At 39.5% G+C, this 20877-nt stretch overlaps 1 protein-coding gene across 1 annotated transcript in view, besides 1 other annotated feature; it reads left to right on the forward strand.

Annotated features, from left to right (window-relative positions):
- Window positions 1-12483, forward strand: part of LNP1 (leukemia NUP98 fusion partner 1) — a 54781-nt gene extending 42298 nt beyond the window's left edge. The window contains exons 3-4 of the mRNA NM_001085451.2: window positions 7883-8113; window positions 11941-12483. Of these exons, the coding sequence (NP_001078920.1) occupies window positions 7883-8113; window positions 11941-12090 (381 nt within the window). The 3' untranslated portion in view covers window positions 12091-12483. The remainder of the gene's footprint in view (window positions 1-7882; window positions 8114-11940) is intronic.
- Window positions 7336-7873: an enhancer, noted in NCBI's record as "OCT4-NANOG hESC enhancer chr3:100170016-100170553 (GRCh37/hg19 assembly coordinates)". NCBI's record gives its function as "activates a minimal SCP1, AML or CMV promoter by ChIP-STARR-seq in naive H9 embryonic stem cells {active_cell/tissue: H9 hESC(naive)}" and the evidence as "EXISTENCE:reporter gene assay evidence [ECO:0000049][PMID:30033119]".
- Window positions 12484-20877: the final 8394 nt, after the last annotated feature.

Raw genomic sequence — 20877 nt, forward strand, 5'->3', positions numbered from 1 at the left:
TCCCAAACAGTTTCCAAATTCTGGAGAAATCAGGTAGAGAGAAAACAAATATGCTCCAAATTTTGTTCATAGGAGTATACTTTACTCAGTTGTTAAAACCTATTGTAAATAGCTTAAAACTTTTCTTGACTCTGAAAAACAAAACAAAGGCTCAGCAGTGTTTTAGGCAAAAAGTTAAAAAGATTACTTCAGACTTCTATAATTAGTTTAGTTGATGAGTTAATTCCTGCTCTGCTTGATAGTCATAAACATTTCAGCTCTCCATGAGTCTTGAAGTTTTTCTTCTATTCTGATGTCACTGTCTCCAAAGTTATCAGAAACCTCATTCAAGAGCACCTGTTAAGAGTTTTATAGCTGATTATAAAACCACCTCCTAAAGAGGATCAACACAAGACAATAATTGTCCATGGATGACAAAAAAGTTGTCATAAAGACACAATTGACAAGGAAAATTGTTACTTATGTGGCACACAATAATTTAACCTAACAATTATAATTATTACTTATAATGTCCATTAAGTCATATCAGAATTATAGGAGTTTCCCATACTTCTGGAACACATACCAATAACATATTTATAGAAATACAGCCCTAAGAAAACCAAACACCATTTTATATTTGATAATGCTTCCTGTATAATTGTAATACCAACTAAGCCAATTATGTCATTTTTGGACTTTAGGGAACCTCATGTCTTAAAGGACTAATTAGGTCAGGAAAAGACATAATTTATTATTTGATTTGGAAAATTTGTCAAATATCCAAGGTTTAAAACACTTGATATCACAAAATAGGATCACAGGTCATTGTGAAATAAGTCATTTCATTTAACCAAAGTAATAACTCAAAGGATTTTTTTAAAACGGTGAAATCTTCATTCTTTGAGATAGGAGACTTAATTTTCCAAACAGTAAGCCCTAATAAAAACTGCATGAAGCCAATTAAATTTGTTTTTCAAAATTTTATAAACAATCTATAAAATTTTAATCTTGTCTGTAAGATATACCTTCCATAAGCCTTTGAAAACCTTTATAACCTTTATTAAGGCGTCAGCTAATGCTTCAAGAAAACCATGTTGATTTGACATAGGGGCCCATGTGCTGGTCTTGCATCAGTGTGCCTTTGACATTGATGATTAATTTATAGGGGAACTGGCTAGGTGCAGTGGCTCATGCCTGTAATCCCAGCACTTTGGGAGGCTGAGGTGGGCAGATCATTTGAGGTCAGGAGTTTGAGACCAGTCTGACCAACATGGTGAAACCCCATCTCTACTAAAACACAAAAATGAGGCAGGCATGGTGGTGGGCACCAGTCATCTCAGCTACTTGGGAAACTGAGGCAGGAGAATTGCTTGAACCCAGAGGCAGAGGTTGCAGTGAGCTGAGCTTGCACCACTGCACTCCAGCCTGGTAGACAGGGCGAGACTCTCTCTCAAAAAAAGTATAGAGAAACTGAACTTATTTTATCTCTCAAAATTAGCCCTTACAATTTCACACACCCACCTCTTCCTTGACAGTCCCCAGGCCTTGAGGAGTTGAATAGCTTTAATTTCTGGCCCTGGGTCTCAGGAATGCAGTTTATTTTGATTGGCATTTTCTACAGGGCCTGAAGATAGGGCTTTAATTGCTGTCAGTGTTTAACATTTATCAGGACTTGGTTTCCTTTTTAGACCCAGGAGTCAAAGCCTGTAACTCAATGTCACAAGTATTTAAAAGTGTATACAGAGAGATACACGATGTAAGAACCTTAATTAAAAAACATTTTTAATCTCAGTTTATTTTAGCAAACCAAAACCTAATAGTATTATGACAACTGGATCATATCAAAGTTTTTGGTTTTTAAAAAAATATATTTAGAAAACCCCATCGTCTCAGCCCAAAATCTCCTTAAGCTGATAAGCAACTTCAGCAAAGTCTCAGTATACAAAATCTATGTGCAAAAATCATGAAGATTCCCATATGCCATTAACAGACAAACAGAGAGACAAATCATGAGTGAACTACCATTCACAATTGCTATAAAGAGAATAAAATACCTAGGAATCCAACTTACAAGGGATGTGAAGGACCTCTTCAAGGAAAACTACAAACCACTGCTCAATGAAATAAAAGAGGACACAAACAAATGGAAGAATATTCCATGCTTATGGATAGGAAGAATCAATATCGTAAAAATGGCCATACTGCTCAAAGTAGTTTATAGATTCAATGCCATCCCCATCAGGCTACCAAAGACTTTCTTCACAGAATTGGAAAAAACTGCTTTAAAGTTCATATGGAACCAAAAAAGAGCCTGCATTGCCAAGACAATCCTAAGCAAAAAGAACAAAGCTGGAGGCATCACACTACCTGACTTCAAACTATACTACAAGGCCATAGTAACCAAAACAGCATGGTACTTGTACCAAAACAGATATATAGACCAATGGAACAGAACAGAGGCCTCCGAAATAACACCACACATCTACAACCATCTGATCTTTGACAAATCTGACAAAAACAAGAAATGGAGAAAGGATTCCCTATTTAAGAAATGGTGCTGGGAAAACTGGCTAGCCATATGTAGAAAGCTGAAACTGGATCCCTTCCTGACACCTTATACAAAAATTAATTCAAGATGGATTAAAGACTTAAATATTAGACCTAAAACCATAAAAACCCTAGAAGAAAACCTAGGCAATACCATTCAGGACATAGTTATGGGCAAGGACTTCATAACTAAAACACCAAAAGCAATGGCAACAAAAGCCAAAATAGACAAATGGGATCTAATTAAACTAAAGAGCTTCTGCACAGCAAAAGAAACTACCATCAGAGTGAAGAGGCAACCTACAGAATGGGAGAAAATTTTTGTAATCTACCCATCTGACAAAGGGCTAATACCCAGAATCTACAAGGAACTTAAACAAATTTACAAGGAAAAATCCAACAACCCCATCAAAAAGTGGGCAAAGGATATGAGCAGACACTTCTCTAAAGAAGACATATATGCAACCAACAGACACATGAAAAAATGCTCATCATCACTGGTCATCAGAGAAATGCAAATCAAAACCACAATGAGATACCATCTCACACCAGTTAGAACGGCAATCATTAAAAAGTCAGGAAACAACAGGTGCTGGAAAGGATGTGGAGATAGGAATGCTTTTACACTGTTGGTGGGAGTGTAAATTAGTTCAACCATTGTGGAAGACAGGGCGGCAATTCCTCAAGGATCTAGAACTAGAAATACCATTTGACCCAGCGATCCCATTACTGGGTATATACCTGAGGGATTATAAATCCTGCTACTATAAAGACACATGTACACATATATTTATTATGGCACTATTCACAGTAGCAAAGACTTGGAACCAACCCAAATGTCCATCAGCGATAGACTGGATTAAGAAAATGTGGCACATATACACAATGGAATACTATGCAGCCATAAAAAAGGATGAGTTTATGTCCTTTGCAGGGACATGGATGAAGTTGGAAATCATCATTCTCAGCAAACTATCACAAGGACAGAAAACCAAACACCGCATGTTCTCACTCATAGGTGGGAATTGAACAATGAGATCACTTGGACACAGTGGGGGGAACATCACATACTGGGGCCTGTTGGAGGGTGGGAGGCTGGGGGAGGGATAGCATTAGGAGAAATACCTAATGTAAATGGTGAGTTGATGGGTGCAGCAAACCAACCTGACACATGTATACCTATGTATCAAACCTGCATGTTGTGCACATGTACCCTAGAACTTAAAGTATAATTTAAAAAAAAAGAATTAAAAAAAAAATCCCTTTATTATGACTTACACAGACCTTTCACAACATGCTTAGATTTTCTGGTTTGTCCTGAGCATCCCTCTTCCTTAAACAACCAGTCATTTTACTCTAGGACTAAATTTACCATACAAGAGTCTTTCTCCTGTGAAATTATTTCTCTTTAAGCTTTCTTACAAGAAAATTCCCTCTTTATTTTGATAACTTTTTTTTACATCGCTCTTGTTTCCTGGTTCCTGTTACCTTGTTTTATATATGAGCTTTAAATAAGCTTTGAATTAGACAAAAATTGTTCTTCTTTTTTAAAATGACACACCTTTTCTTTAAGAAAGAATGTTTTCCTACAAATATATTTTTAACTGGAAAATACCCAAATAATGAAATCTCTATTCTTTAGATTAACTTCAGATTCTAAATTATGATGAGTTTGTCTACAAGTATTTATCCCATTACTTTTACCTAATTATTTTATTTTAATTGTTTACCTAATTTATGAAAACTGTGATAGTCATCATTTAACGTTATGGAACCACCATTGTAAGATTATAACTGAGACAGTGAAAAAGATTAGACTTCACTGACTCCATCTTGCTTTTAACCTCCTTTTAAGCTGTTCTTGTTTATTCCTGGGCATAGGCTGAACTAACTTTGGGAGAAACTTAGTTTATAATTTACTTTGAAACAAAGACAATAACAGTCCTTTGCCAAAACAAACCTTACTGCCTGTGGACTAGACTGCCTAAAACCACAAGATTAGAAGTTATGCTAATCTTACTAAATTCAAAATGTAGCTATTTTTATTAAACCAATATCAATGTCATATTTATTAAATATTACATGAGTAAAGATCATTCTGTTTTTGGCTGGGTTTATAGTTCTGTAACCCCTATGTCAAATTTTGTCACCTTATAGTATTTGGCAGGGATAAGCATAAAATTACTTGATTAATAAATGCAAACAAATATGTATGCTGGCAGTTCTTAAAACATTTATAATATTATTTTACCAATAATTTTAAAGTTAGCTTACTTATTAAGGGTTTTACTTAAGTTACATAAAGTTGAAAACGCATTTGACTAGTCTTTTCTTTTTTCCTGATAAAGTATTTGATTCAAGTGCTTTTATTTTTCTTTAAACCAATTAGTTAGAGCTCTTTTATATATTTTCAGTAGTGAAACACTGTGTACACAACACATAAATACATAGAGGTATTACAGATGCTGAAGGAAGTACATCTTATAGATTCATAAAACCGTTTTTTTTCCTATCTTAGACATTCAGATTCTTAATAACCTGTTTCACAACCCTAGGCAGTTATCAGCTAAATAGCTTTAAATTTGCATATTAAAGGAAACAACTCAGGTGAAAAATGTAGTAGCAAAACTTACATTATCAGATATGGAGAATAAAAGTCTGGTGTGCTAGAGGGAGATTAAAGATGGATGTCAAATAAAACATAAAATTATAAAAATCTATTATAGGATTGTATAAGGAGACTAATTTTATTTACATAGGGACTACCTGTCTTTTAACCGGATCTCTGAGCTTTGGGCAGAGCCCACATTGAATTCTGGGTTTCCAAAAACGGAGAATTACCCTGAGGCTAGCCCATGTGTTGTTTTCATAGTGCACTTAAACTTTTTTTTTTTTTAATAAAGACATTTCTAAGTGTCTAAATACATTCTTCTTTAAAAATCCAAGGGTATCCTCTGTTGCAGTAACTATTTTAGTAATAAATCAGGTGACACAGTACAAAAGCAAGCAGTTTAAAAGCTGAGATAAACTTGTCTGTTTACACTCCTGTGGTTCCATAAGGAAAAACAGGTTTCTCCCCCAAAGGGAGTCTGGCACCTTCTCCGTTTTCGTTAAAGAACCCTGGGCTATTATATACTATTTTAGGTCTCTCATGCAGCAGAGGATGCAAGAGAAAGGAGAGACAGCAGAAGTAAATGAAGAAAACAGGGTTCAATCAACTGAGAAGAAAAAAACTTTTGCTCATAAAAGGACAAGGTCCTAGGAGACAAAACAAACAAACAAACAAAATCAAACCAAAAAAAACAACCAAAAACATAAAGGCCTTTTAAATACAAACACACACACATAACACATATACACACACATCTTGAATGTTAGCTTTTAATTAAGCTTACTTTAGTCATTGAGCTCCTTAAAAAAACCTTTTAAATCTTATTACCATATTTTAGTTAGGAAAAATTGTAGTTATTTCAGAAGTACCAAGTATCAAACCAGAAAGGGCTTTATTTAAGAAACAAAACCCAGGCTGTCATGGTGGAAAAAAGAAGGCAGGACCTTAGCTATCAAACTGCAATGCGGGGTGACAGTCATTGCTTTCAGCTTGGCCTGGCTAGCAAAAAGATGGCCTTGTTATGTAAATAAAGACTCTTAAGTAGTCAAAATAAAAAAACTTTCCTTTTTTTATTTTTCCTTTTGCTGGTCGTTTTTCTCCACACCATACCACTTTTTTTTTTTTTTTTTTGGTGGGAACGTAGCCACTTCAGAGGCCTTGTTCCCCATATTTTTGGAAATTTCTTTTGGATTTGATCAAGTCAGATAGAGTTGATCAAACCCAATGGGAAAAAGACTGAAACAATAACAAAAACAGAAACAAACAACAATAAAAAAACAGTTAAACGATGGCACAACTTATATGGTCACTGAGTGCTCTAATGGCAAGGAGAAATTAATGCCAACTGGATGTTAATTTTTTTTTTTTTTTTTTGAGACGAAGTTTCACTCTTCCTGCCCAGGCCAGAGTGCAATAGCGTGATCTCGGCTCACCGCAACCTCCACCTCCTGGGTTCAAGCGATTCTCCTGCCTCAGCCTCCCGGGTAGCTGGGACTACAGGCACACACCACCATGCCCGGCTAATTTTTTGGTATTTTTTAGTAGAGACAAGGTTTCACCATGTTGGCCAGGCTGGTCTTGAACCCCTGACCTCAGGTGATCCCTCCGCCTTGTCCTCCCAAAGTGCTGGGATTACAGGCATGAGCCACCACGCCTGGCCTGGATGTCAATCTTAACTTTAGCCAAGACAAACCCTAATTCAGTTCCTTACTTAGGCATGGGTCTCAGGCTGTAGACTGCTCTCTACCATCCTAAGAAGCAGGAAAACAAAACAAAACAAAACAAAAACAACACCTCATCTTCCCTGTTGGAAGTGAGCTCAAACTCCATAAAGGAGTTACCTGCCTTCCATCATCATGGCAACAGGAAATCTTGCCTTCCTTGTTGGAAGCAAGTAAAACTCCAAAAATAAATAAATAAATAAATAGAGAGAGAGAGGAGTTGTACAGCAAAATAAACTTTAGATCTTGACCAAATTTTGGGAGATCAGCGACTCTCTGGAGGGGGTGGTCTCAGACCTCAGCAAATTGTCCTATTGGTTTGAGCCATAAAGTTAGCTTATGCTGGTACCAAGCAGCAATGGGAGATTTGTCAAAGGTCAGGGGCATCTCCATTCAGAATCCCTTCATGGTTGCCAAAATGTGAACCCCCAAAATCTGAGGCAGGTCTCAGTTAATCTAGAAAGTTTATTTTGCCAAGGCTGAGAATTCATGCCCCTGACACAGCCTCAGGAGGTCCTGATGACATGTGCCAAATGTAGTCAGAGCACAGTTTGGTTTTATACATTCTAGGGAGACATGAGACGTCAGTCAACATATGCAAAATGAACATTGGTTCGATTTGAAAAGGCAGGACAACTCAAAGGTGGGAAAACCCAAAGTGGGCAGGGGGCTTCCAGGTCATGGGTAGATAAGAGACAAATGGTTGCATTCTTTTGAGTTTCTGATTAGCCTCTCCAAAGGAGGCAATCAGGTATGTGTTTGTCTCAATGCATGAGATAAATGAGTGAGCAGAGGGGTGACTTTGAAAGAATGGGAGGCAGGTTGGCCCTAAGCTGTTCCCAGCTTGACTTTTCCCTTTAGCTTAGTGATTTGGGGGCCTCAAGTTTTATTTTCCTTTCACAAAGATAATATATCAATTCAACATGAGATTCATTTAGTTACTAGTTTATAAACATTCTGCCTCTGTGCTAACATTGCACAGTCCTTTTATACTGTAAATTTTTTCATTCTGTATTCTCAGCTTCCTGTGCTTCCCAGAATTCCATCATCTGACTGCCATCCTAGAAGGCATTCTCATGAGGACCAAGAATTTCGATGCCGTAGCCACGTACGGGATTACAGAAAATACTCAGAGGATGGGTCATTCAAGGAGCCACTGGAATCAAAAGGAAGATCCCATTCCAAAATTGAGAAATTTTCAGAGTCCTTTGAACGGCAACTGTGCTTTAGAACCAAGCGTTCTGCCTCTTTGGTATGTAACAGAGCTACTGAATATTTAAGCCGCTTTAAAAAAGGAAACCCAAAGGTTTTGTCCTCTTTATGATTGAGGGGAACAAATGTAACTTCTTCATTTACAGCTTGGTAATAAGATCTTTGAAAAATGACATTCAGTTTAACATAACCCAGAATGAATTTTTAAAGAATATTATTTATAATTGAAGACATCTGGTATAGGAAGATTTCCCAGAACATTTTTGTTACCAAAGTCTTCTAGTTTTTCTTTCTTTTTTTTTTTTTTTTTTGAGATAGGGTCTTACTCTGTTGCCCAGGCTGGAGTGCAGTGGCCTGATCATGGCTCACTGCAGCCTCGAACTCCTGGTCTCACGTGTTCCTCCCACCTCAGCCTCTTGAGTAGCTGGGACTACAGGCATGTGCCACCATGCCCGACTAAATTTTAAACTTTTTTTTTCTAGAGACAGGGTCTTGTTATGTTGCCCAGGCTGGTTTCAAACTTCTGGGCTCAAGCAATGCTCCTGCCTCGGGGTCCCAAAGTGCTAGGATTCCAGGTGTGAGCCACCACACCCAGCCCCCTAGTTTCTTGAGCCTGCTTTCATCAACCTTATTATAAATAATTGTAACTCATTCCCCTTTTACAATTTGGAAAAAGAAAAAAAAACTGCCCCATGGCTTCTCTCCTTTCATATTTAATCCTCTAGCAAATAGTCTATGATGGTGTTTTGTTCTCCTATACTTAAAAAACACAAGAACGACCAAACACTGTCTAGTAAGTATCCAGGAATAGGAGTGGGCTAGGTGCTCATGGTGACGTCATGGGAGTCAAAGTAAAGCAAAAGGAAGAGACAGACATGAAATAGGGGGAAGAATAGAATCTCCACTGGTGATGCTAAACTTGATACATAAAGTAATAAACTAAAGATCAATTAATGTGGGGGTAGTTTCAACTCTGCAGCATGCTCACTGACTGGCCTTGAGCAAAATGCTTCTTTTTTTGTAGGTCTTTGGTTTTTTGTTTTATTTTGCAAAACAGGAATAATAATGGGTCACTGCCAGGTAGTAGACAAAACAAATAATTGCACCTAAGTGTAATGACTTCTGGTTCTGGAGCTAGACTCTGTGAGTCCACTGGTGAAGATACTTGGGTGCTTCGTATTTCATTGTCCACCTGAGCACAGTGCTCTCTACCTAGCAGACTGGCTGTTGGGACTGTCACTATGCACCTTTGCCTTTCAAGTGACACCTGACTTTTGCTCAGAGTGACCCTGTATCCATATGGTTTCCCTTCAGTAGGCTGCTTTCTCCACCTGATCATAAGAGGAACAAGGAAGGGAGAATAGTGAACAGCTGTCATTTTACTGTATCTAAACCTTATTATCAAGAATTCCTGTAATCCCAGCACTTTGGAAGGTTGAGGCCACGGGATCGCTTGAGGCCAGGAATTTGAGACCAGCCTGGGCAACATAGTGAAATCCTGTCTCTACGAAAATTAAAAAAAAAAAAAAAAATTACCAGCCATGGTGTCCTGCACCTGTATTCCTCACTGCTTGGGAGGCTGAGGTGGGAGGATCTCTTGTGCTCGAGTTTGAGACTGCCGTCAGCTATGATTGGGCCCATTGTACTCCAGCCTGGGCAACAGAGCAAGACTCTCAAAAAAAAAAAAAAAGAATTCCTGTTTTGTCTTTTTAAAAAAATACTTTTTGTTTTCATATTGTCTCAGGCTTAGAGAAATGTTGCAAGAATAGGACAAAGAATTCCCATACACCCTTCACCTAGATTACCTCCAAATGTTAACATGTCCCTATTTGCCTACACTATCTCTCCTTTTCCCACCTCCAAACACAGGCACAAGAACATTCTCTGACATAAACACAATACAATAATTAAACTCAGGAAATTAATACTGATATAATACTATTATCTCTAATCCATAAACCTTACTTATATTTTTTTGCCAGTTGTCCCAATAATATTCTTTATAGTGAAATTTGAAATCATGTGTTGCTACCGAGGTTCATGTCCCTGTGCTCTATTTTACCCTGGAGCACTTTCTCAGTCTTTCCTTGTCTTTCACGACATTAGCTAATATTATTATTATAAGCCCTAAAAGTGTATAAAGTCATTTTGCTTAAAAAGATATTCATCATATTATCTCTAAAATACAAAATATGCTTGTTGCATTCATTTTCCACATTCTTCCTTTTGGGTTCCAAGATACTTAGGGAAGCATTTTCTACTTTTTAAACTCAAAAACTCTTTTTCACAGTTATATGTAATAACTAGAAATCTGTTAGGAATTTATAAAATTATGTTTATATTTGCACATTAGATAATAACTAATTATAAATTGAATATTTTATTTTACATCAGTTTTTAAAGAGTACATTATAAAATCTTAATGCAAAATTAGAAATTCCGAACATATACAGATACACTTCAACTTTTCCCTATTTGATAATCTACACACTTTCCTAAGGCTAACTACATTAGAAAGTGTTCTTTTTCAGTAAATTTAAAAATGATTTATATCGTCTTTTGTTTGGGGACCAAATGTATACTAATACCTAGATTTAAATTTTACATATTTTGACATAAAAAAGAACCAGAAACTGTTTCTGTGTCCTGATCATGACCAACAATGTTAAATTCTTTCATTTTGATATTTAAAAATTCAGTGGGCTTCTTTTGATAATTTTCACATTTAGCATCTAAGAGATGTGATAAAATGTATTTCAGGGCATTATTTACAAGCATTTCTCAGATAGTCTTTAATCATCACTCTATTTTCTCTTTCTTATACCATTTTGATAAGAGACCTTCATGACTGCGTTAACATTGTAGAGCGGCTGACACCACTGTGTTAAACAGATGCCTCAATAACTCTCAACTAACACGGCTGAGCAAGCATGACCTTGCTCATGTGACCACCACTCACCACTGCTTAACTTCACCTGATAAGCACTCAGGGGTTTCCCAACATTTCTAGTTCAAACAGGAGAGGAGTAATGATTTTGCTTGTTTATTTTTTAAAACAGAAGGATAAATAGATACGGTGGCCACATTTATCCATGCCATTGTTTTGATAATTCCTTTGAAAGGCACCCTCTGGCCATATAACTAAAGAAGCAACCCCCCCACCCTCCAGTAGGTCCCTATCACTCTGTTTACAGTTATCATTGCACTTATCACTATTGATTATTTTTTCATTTCCTTTTAGGTTTATTGATGACTGTCTGTATCCCTCCACCTAGGTGTAATATCTAGGAAGTAGGTCTATTTAGTGTTATATCTCCTGATCCTACAACAACAGTTTATGTTCAATTAATCAGTGAATAATGTGGAATCCTGGGGACACATGTCGGGGGGTGTTAATCTGGTTGGGCGTCATTCCTTAACAGTTCATTCTTCCCACAGTCCTCACATTAAAATTTAGTGCAAACTCTACTATTAAAGTAATTTAAGGGAGTGAACACAGAAAGCTAAGAATCATTCCATGTGTGATCTCATTTGCCACTTTCCGTTTCAAAAAGCACCAGGGAACTATTAATTTCATTGTGCCATGAAATCACACCCCTCAGTATGTTCAGAGGCAAAGAGTCATAGGCATGTGCAGGTTGTACTTCCTTCCCAGACCATCTGCTGATGTCCAACCCCCTCTATTCTTTTCTTTGTGACCGAAACCTTTAGCAACATCCTTAGGTTTATGCTAATTTATTTCTAGAAACCAAGAGGTGGAAGTCTGCTAAACCATCAGGGCTTTCTCCATGTCTGATTATTAAGAGAAATGTGGAGTGTTGTCAGCTGCTTGTGCATTTTTACCTGTTTCTGATCTTTCCCTTTCAGGGACCTGAAAGCAGAAAGGAGAGAAATGAAAGAGAATGCCTGAGGATGGAGATAAAATCCCGAAAGAAAGTAGAGGAAGAAAGGAGCTCTAGGAAAGAAGAGCATGGAGAAGCACACATGGCTCCCCTGTTTGAAAAAGGGCCTGAATAATACTCTGCTTCTGCCTCATGACATCAGATGCTACTGTTTTGGTTTTTTTCTTTGAGCCCCAATTCACCATTTCAGGATGTGGATGGGGGCGGGGTTGGGGGTAAAAACAGCTATAAAAAGCAACTGCAGATGCTGACTGACTGCAGTGGGCAGGGTATGTAGCTGCTCCAAGATGACTTGCATCATACCCCAATTACTGCTGGCATCTTAGTTGAGAGTATAATCTGCTTGGTTGCCTTTTTATGGGAATAAAGAGAATAAAAGGTATTTTAATAGAATAAAGAAAAATTTGAAAATATAATGGAAGGTATTTAAAGAGCCACCCACATAGCTTCACCAACCCTTCTCACACATCAACTCATAAATCATCTTAAATAAAAGTCATTGGTATGACTCTTGAGTTTACTTTCTTATCCAGAAGTAATTATGTAAGTATGTCTAATGGCCATCATTTAAGGAGAACTGGTAATTAACATGCCAAGTACTATGCTGGATGCTTTAATGCATTACCTAAAATAAGCTTCAGCACTCTGAGGTGGGACCTTGTATTAGTCAGGATTCTCCAGCGAGAAAGAACCAATAGGATAGAGCTAAAGATAGATCCATAGAGATAGAGATAGAGATAAATAGGGATAGAGAATATATGAGAAGGGATTTATTAGGGGAATTGGCTAACATGATTATGGAGGCAGAGAAATCCCAACATAAACTGTCTCCAAGCTGGAGAACCAAGGAAGCTGGTAGTGTGGCTCAGTTCAAGTTCAAAGGCCTCAGAACCAGGGAAGCCAGTAGGGTGGCTTAGTCCAAATTTGAAAGCCTCAGAAACAGGGAAGCTGATTATATAACTTTCAGTTCTAGGTTGAAGGTAGGGTAGGGGAGAGTCACTGGCACAAGTCCCTGACTCCGAAGGCCACATGGAACCTGCAGTTCTAATATCCAAGGCAGGAAAGAAGGGCATCCTAGCTTTGAGGGAGATGGAGAGAGAGAGAGAAAGAGAGAGAGAGACAGAGAGAGAGAGAGAGAGAGAGAGAGGCAGAAAATTCTCCTTTCCTCTGCCTTTTTTATCTATCCAGGTCTTCAGCCAATTGGATGGTGCCTGCCCACAATGGGTGAGGGTGGATCTTCCTTATTCAGTCCACTGATTCAAATGCCAATCTCTTCCAGAATCACTTTAACAGACACATCTGTGCAGAAAGAAATAATGCTTTACCAGCTGTCTGGGTGCCCCTTAATCCAGTCAAGCTGGCACCTAACATTAACCATCACAGACCTATTTTTTTCTTCACTTTCTAGATGAGGAAACAAAGTTTAGAGAGTTCTGTACCTTGTTGGTGTGGTGGCAGAGTTAGGGCCAGAGCCCAGTTCATTCTGATGCCAGAGCTTATGGTCCTAACGTGAGGCAGGATGTTCATTTTCCTCTAGTAGCAGGTTCTGAGATAGTCTGTGTGTGATGTGCATGTGAATGAGTGGATGTGAGTGAGAATAGCAGGAGTGAGGGTAGGTTGCAGTTTTGATTACACGGGTGTAGACTGATTCTCTGAGGTCAGCTTTATGCACTGGGTTTTAACTTTGTGGAACCATACTCTATCGATCACTAATTGTTTTCCCCTGAAAGCAAAGATACTGGAGTTCTCTAATGCTCTCTCTGTTTATTCCTCATCTGTCTTAGACTTTCAAATGCCCAAGGGCAGCTTACCCGTTTTGTGAAGAGGAAAATCCCCCAAAAGTACTACTCATAACTAATACTGTAATTGATTGCTTATGCAAGCATTGACTTTGACTTAGTAGAAATAAAAAGGAAAAGGGGAGTGTCAGTTTGTTCTCACACTGCTATGAAGAACTGCCCAAGACTGGGTAACTTATAAAGAAAAGAGGTTTAATTGACTCACAGTTCTGCATGCCTGGGAAGGCCTCAGAAAACTTACAATCATGGTGGAAGGTGAAGGGGAAGCAAAGACCTTCTTCACATGGTATTAGGAAAGAGAGAGCTAGTAAGAGCAGGAAAAACTGCCTTATAAAACCATCAGATCTCATGAGAACTTATTATCATAAGAATAGCATGGCGGAAACCTCCCCCATGATCCTCCCACCTGGTTTCTCCCTTGACAAGGGATTATGAGGTTTACAATTCAAGATGAGATTTGGGTGGGGACACAGGCAAACCATATCATTCCATCCCTGGCCCCTCCCAGATCTCATCTCCTCACATTTCAAAACACAATTATGCTTTCCCAGTAGTCAAAGTCTTAATTCATTCCAGCATTAAACCCAAAAGTCCAAGTCCAAAGTTTCATCTGAGACAAGGTGAGTCCCTTCTACCTATGAGCTGGTAAAATCAAAAGCAAGTTAGTTATTTCCAAGACACAGTGGGGGTACAGGCATTGGGTAAATGCTCCCATTCCAAATGGGAGAAATTGGCCAAAACAAAGGGGCTACAGGTCCCATACAAGTCCAAAATTCAGTGGGGCAGTCATTAAATCTAAAAACCCCAAAACAATCTCCTTTGACTCCATGTCTTACATTCAGGGCACACTGATGCAAAGGGTAGGCTCCCATGGCCTTGGGCAGCTCCATCCCTGTGGCTTTGTAGCCCCTCTGCCCAGCCCTCCATATACCAGCTGCTTTCATGGCTAGTGTTGAGTATCTGCAGCTTTTCCAGGTGCACAGTGCAAGCTGTCAGTGTATCTACCATTCTGGGGTCTGGAGGATGGTAGGCCCTCTTCTCACAGCTCCACTAGGCAGTGCCCCAGTAGGGATTCTCTGTGGGGGCTCCAACCCCACATTTCCCTTCTGCACTGCCCTAGCAGAGATTCTCCATGAGGGCTCTGTCCCTGCAGCACACCTCTGCCTGCACATCCAGGTGTTTCCATACATCTTCTGAAATCTAGGCAGAGGTTCCCAAACCTCATTTCTTGTCTTCTGTGCACCCGCAGAACCAACATCACATGGAAGCTGCCAAGACTTGGGGCTTGCACCTTCTGAAGCAACAGCCTGAGCTGTACCTTGGTCCCTTTTAGACACAGCTGGAGCAGCTGGGATGCAGGGCACCAAATCCAAGGCTGCACACAGCAGGGGAGCCCTGGACTTGGCCCAGGAAACCATTTTTCCTCCTAGGCCCCTGGGTCTGTGATGGGAGGGGCTGCTGTGAAAGTCTCTGACATGCCCTGGAGACATTTTCCCCATTGTCTTGGTAATTAACATTCAGCACCTTGTTACCTGTGCAAATTTCTCTAGCCAGTTTGAATTTCTCCCCAGAAAATGGATTTTTCTTTTTTACCATATTGTCAGGCTGCACATTTTCCAAACTTTTATGCTCTGCTTCCCTTTTAAACATAAGTTCCAATTTCAGATAATGTCTCTCAACTTCAAAGTTCCACAGATCTCTAGGGCAAGGGCAGAATGCCACCAGTTGCTCTGCTAAAGCGTAGCAAGAGTGAACTTTGCTCCAGTTTCCAAAAAGTTCTGCATCTCCATCTGAGACCATCTCAGCCTGGACTTCATTGTCTACACTGCTATCAGCATTTTGGTCAAAACCATTTGACAAGTCTCTAGGAAGTTCCAAACTTTCCCACATTTTCCTGTCTTCTGAGCCCTCCAAACTGTTCCAACCTCTGCCTGTTACCCAGTTTCAAAGTCACTTCCACATTTTTTGGTACCTGTATCGCAGTACCCCACTCTCTGCAGTACCGATTTCCTATATTTGCCCATTCTCACACTGCTATAAAGAGCTGCACAAGGCCAGATGCAGTGGCTCATGCCTGTAATCCCAGCACTTTGGGAGACCGAGGCAGGTGGATCATCTGAGGTCAGGAGTTCAAGACCAGCCTGGCCAACACAGTGAAACTCCATCTCTAATAAAAATACCAAAAATTAGCCAGGTGTGGTGGCAGGCACTTGTAATCCCAGCTACTCGAGAGGTTGAGGCAGGAGAATTGCTTGAACCTGGGAGGCAGAGGTTGCAGTGAGCTGAGATTGCTCCACTGCTCTCCAGCCTGGGTGGCAGAGTGAGACGCCATCTAAAAAAAAAAAAAAAAAAAAAAAAAGAACTGCCCAAGACTGGGTAATTTATAAAGAAAAGAGGTTTAAAAGAGGTTTAATCGACTCACATTTGCACATGGCTGGGGAGGCCTCAAGAAACCTACAATCATGGCAGAAGGCGAAGGGGAAGCAAGGACCTTCTTCACTTGATGGCAGGAAAGAGAGAGCTAGCAAGAGCAGGGAAAATTGCTTTATAAAACCATCAGATCTTGTGAGAATTCATTCACAATCATGAGAACAGCACTGGGGAAACTTTCCCCATGATCCAATCATCTTCCACCGTGCAAACACTGCTCACTGCAGCCTCAACCTCCTGGGTTCAAGTGATCCTGCCACCCTAGTCGCCCCAGTAGCTGGGACCATAGGCATACACCACCACAGCCAGCTAATTAAAAAAAAAGTATTTGTAAGGTGGGGGGGTTTCCCTATGTTGCCCAGGCTGTTCTGAAACTCCTGGGCTCAAGAGATCTTCCTGCTTTGGCCTCTTCAAAGTGCTGAGATTACTGGTGTGAGCCCCCACGCCTAACAGAACAAAAATTTTAAATGTGTTTGTTTACCTTCTCGGAGATAAATATGGTTAATGCCTTGGTGTATGTACTTCCAGAATGCTATTTACGTGTACATGTGCACATGAACGTAAGTGCACATCAAACACTTTTTCAGTCATAATCTCATTTCAGTTAAGAATATATCATTAACATCTCTTTAATCGATAAAATTGTTTATTACATAATTTTAAATGGTGTTTAAGTGGAGTCAAGTCACTTTGTTTTTTTTTTTTTGAGACGGAGTCTCGCTCTGTCGCCCAGGCTGGAGTGCAGTGGCGAGATCCCGGCTCACTGCAAGCTCCGCCTCCGGGGTTCACGCCATTCTCCTGCCTCAGCCTCCCGAGTAGCTGGGACTAAGGCGCCGGTCACCATGCCCAGCTAATTTCTTTATATTTTTTTTAGCAGAGACGGGGTTTCACCGTGTTAGCCAGGATGGTCTCAATCGCCTGACCTCGTGATCCGCCCACCTCAGCCTCCCAAAGTGCTGGGATTACAGGCGTAAGCCACCGCGCCCGGCCGTCACTTCTGCCATAAAAACTTTCCCTCATAACATACCAAGAGATACCATTCTTGATAGCCAATAGTAACCAACTTAGCTATCTTCCTTTTCATAGAAAACTTCTTGAAGAGTTATCTACATTTCCCCTCAGTTTTGAGTCTGCTGCAATGTGACTTCTGTCCTTACCCTTTATAGAAACCGTTCTCTTCAAAGTCACCCTTGAGCTCCTTACTGTCAAATTCTGTGAAAACATCTCTTGACTTTGCTTGACTTTCTAGAAGCATCAGACATTGCTGATTACTCCCTCCCTCTTGAAGCCCCTCTCTGGCTGGCTGTTGAGACTTATATTCTTCTGGTTTTCCTTGTACCTCTCCTATCACTGCTGGTTGTTTTGGTGCTTTGGTGAGAGATCCATATACCTTAAATACGGATTTTCTTCAGAGCTCTGTCTAAGCATTTGCCTCAGTTACCTTATCTTCCCTGGGTAATCTCAAACACGTGCAGGGTATCGGCCACCTATGTGCTGATGGCTCCCAAATCTGTCCCTGTGGTGCAGACTCTCTCCTGAGCAGCACACTCATATATAAAAGCATCCTTTGGACATATTAGTTACAGGTTTCACAGACATCTCAAACTCATCTTTTGAAAGTAAACTGTTCTTTATTGCCCTGTCTGCTCTCCTTCTGCCCCTCTTTCTGTGTTCCCTATCTCAGTGACTGGTAGCATCATTTACCAGTTGCTCGTGGAAGAACTTACCTGGGTTTGAAGCCACTTGTACTCCTCCTTTTCTCCCATTCTCCATCTAATTAATCATCAACTTGTGTCTATTTTGCCTCTAAATATCACTTGGATCTACCGAATTCCCTCTATTCTCATTGCTACAACCTGATTTCAGGCCCTTTATATCTTGCTTCATTTCTTACAATAGAAATAATAATATTTTAGATATATTTGGTTAAATCAAATATATTATGAAAATTAATTATCTTTTTTCCTTATATAAATGTAGTTACTAGAAAATTTAAAACAGCATATATGTCTCATATTATATTTCTATTAGATAGCACTGATCTATACCTTGGCTAACTTTCAAACCTCTTTTTATATTACTAACATTTTAGTTTTTAAGTTTAACTGAGCTTAAAATGTATTTAAATTTAATTAATCCAAGGTGCTATTTTGGGTTAATTGGCCTAATACTAGTTACAACATTTTAAGTAAATTTTGTTATACCTAAACTGTCTTTCTTCCGTTCTTCCTTGTTTCCGTCTTTCTTCTCGAAATAAAAGTGCCCTGTCTATTCATATTCTTTCTTGTGCTATAGTATAGCTCATGTAGGCTTCATTATGTAATGGAATGATTTCCTTACACGTCTGTCTTCCTCTCTAGCCCGTGAACTCTTAGTGAGAGAAACCATATCTTAATCATCTTTCCATTCCCAAAACTTAATAGGCACCTATCACATAGTAGCATCTCAATATATAGCTGGCTTTCCATATGCACAGGTTCTACATCAACAGATTCGACCAATCACAGATCAAAAACATTCAAAAATAAAACCAATAATAATAATAATACAACAATAAAAGACCATCCAAATAAAAACAATACAGTATAGCAACTTTTTGCATAGTGTTTACATTGTGTTAGGTATTATAAGTAATCTAGAGATGATTTAAAGTATGTAGGAAGATGTGAATAGGTTATATGCAATTACTATGTCATTTTATATAAGAGATATGAACATCATCGGATTTTGGTATCTGTGAGGATCCTGGGCCAACCTCCTGTGCATACTGAGCGACGACCATATACAGTTTGAGAGTGTGACTCTAAACAAGCAGGACCCTAAAACTTGAATTAATTCTGCCTATTGTAGGCCAAACACTGTCATAGATGACTCTCTCACAATGAAAAACTGTATTTGGAGTTGATATTTTCCCTCCTAAAATGGAAACTTTTTTTGCTTATAAAAGTAATAGCTGACACACTTTCAAGTAATGCAGAAAACAGTATGACAGCCTCCCAGAAAAGCCAAGTGTTGTTATGACCTTAATACAGCTCATTATTACTGTCAAGACATTCTGGTTACTCTACTCTAGGGGGCAGACTTGAACCAGCATTTGGACAGGTAATGCTGGACGCAAGCCTCAGTGTTTGGCCAAAGACAAAATCACTATCGTTACGTTTTTCTTTTCTTTCTTTCTTTCTTTTTTTTTTTTTTAGAGTCTGTCATCCAGCCTGGAGTACAGTGGTGTGATCATAGCTCACTGCAGCCTTGAGCTCCTGGGCTCAAATGATCCTCCCCACTCAGCCTCCTAAAGGGCTGGGATTACAGGTGTAAGCATCAAATCTCTTAAAAGCTTCTTCACTATCATGAGAAAAACATGGGGGAAACTGCCCCCATGATCAAATCACCTCCCACCAGTTCCCTCCCTCAACACGTGGGGATTACAATTCGAGATGAGATTTGAGTGGGGATTCAGAGCCAAACCATGTCAGATGGTAAACAAAAATCAAAGAAAAATATAGCATAATGTCATGAAGAATCAAAAACAGTTAGGAAATAGAGATAACGGGAATGCTTTTTAAGAGTGAGTTTCCAAAAAAGCCTGTCTGATGAGGTGGTATTTGAGCTGAGGTATGAATGAAATGAGGGAAAAGGGTCTCAGGCAGCAGCGCAGCAGTGTAAAGGCACTAAGGTAAGAGCTTGCTTGGCTTCTTTTAAAAATAGCAACATATTCCTGGAAAGGAGTGCATGACAGGTGTGCAATGGAAAACGAAGCTGGAAAATGCAAAGGGTGGATAATCTGTTACCTAGGTGGTTGTTATTCTAAGTGTCATGGGAAGCTATTGGAAGGTTTTGAGTGAATCACATGGTGTGACAATTTCAGGGAGGGATACATCACAGAGGCAATATTGCTATGCCACTTCAGACATATTAGCATGCTGCTTTCCCAAAGTTCCGTCATTAGTCATTGTTAGCTCTGTGGCTAGAAGACAAAGAAGAGTTTCTTGAAGTGGGAAAAGAAATTATGGTACTCTCCTTCTAAGTTGAGAATATCCTCTTGGCAAACAGCATGGTGCATGAATAGGTTTGTTGAATGAGTGAAAGAAATAATGAATGAAACAACAGTGAAGGCATTTTTTTTTTTGAGACAAAGTCTCACTCTGTCATCTAGGCTGAAGTGCAGTGGTGCGATCTCCTCACTGCAACTTCTGTTTCCCGGGTTCAAGTGATTCTCCTGCCTCAGCCACCCTAATAGCTGGGATTACAGGCATGCCCCAACATGCCTGACTAAGTTTTCTATTTTTGGTAGAGATGGGGTTTTGCCATGTTGGCCAGGCTGGTCTCGAACTCCTGGCCTCAAGTGATCAGCCCAGCTTGTCCTCCCAAAATGCTGGGATTACAGGTGTGAGCCACCATGCCCAGCCAGCAAAGCCATTTCTTAAGTATTATAAACATCTTGAAACAGTTTCCTCTCTGCTTTGCTAATTCATGGATATTTACTAAGGGCTGCATGTACTGCAGCGTAATAGGTGGGGCACACCAAGATGAGTGAGACACAGTCCTTGCCTTCAAGGAACTTCAATTTTTGTTGGAAAAATAGACATATACACAAAACAGAATGCTTATATTGAGATTTTGGCTGAGGCATCAAGATACACAGCTGTCCTTCACTATCCATAGGGGATTGATTC

Source organism: Homo sapiens, chromosome 3, assembly GCF_000001405.40.
Source record: "Homo sapiens chromosome 3, GRCh38.p14 Primary Assembly".
Lineage (NCBI taxonomy): Eukaryota > Metazoa > Chordata > Mammalia > Primates > Hominidae > Homo > Homo sapiens.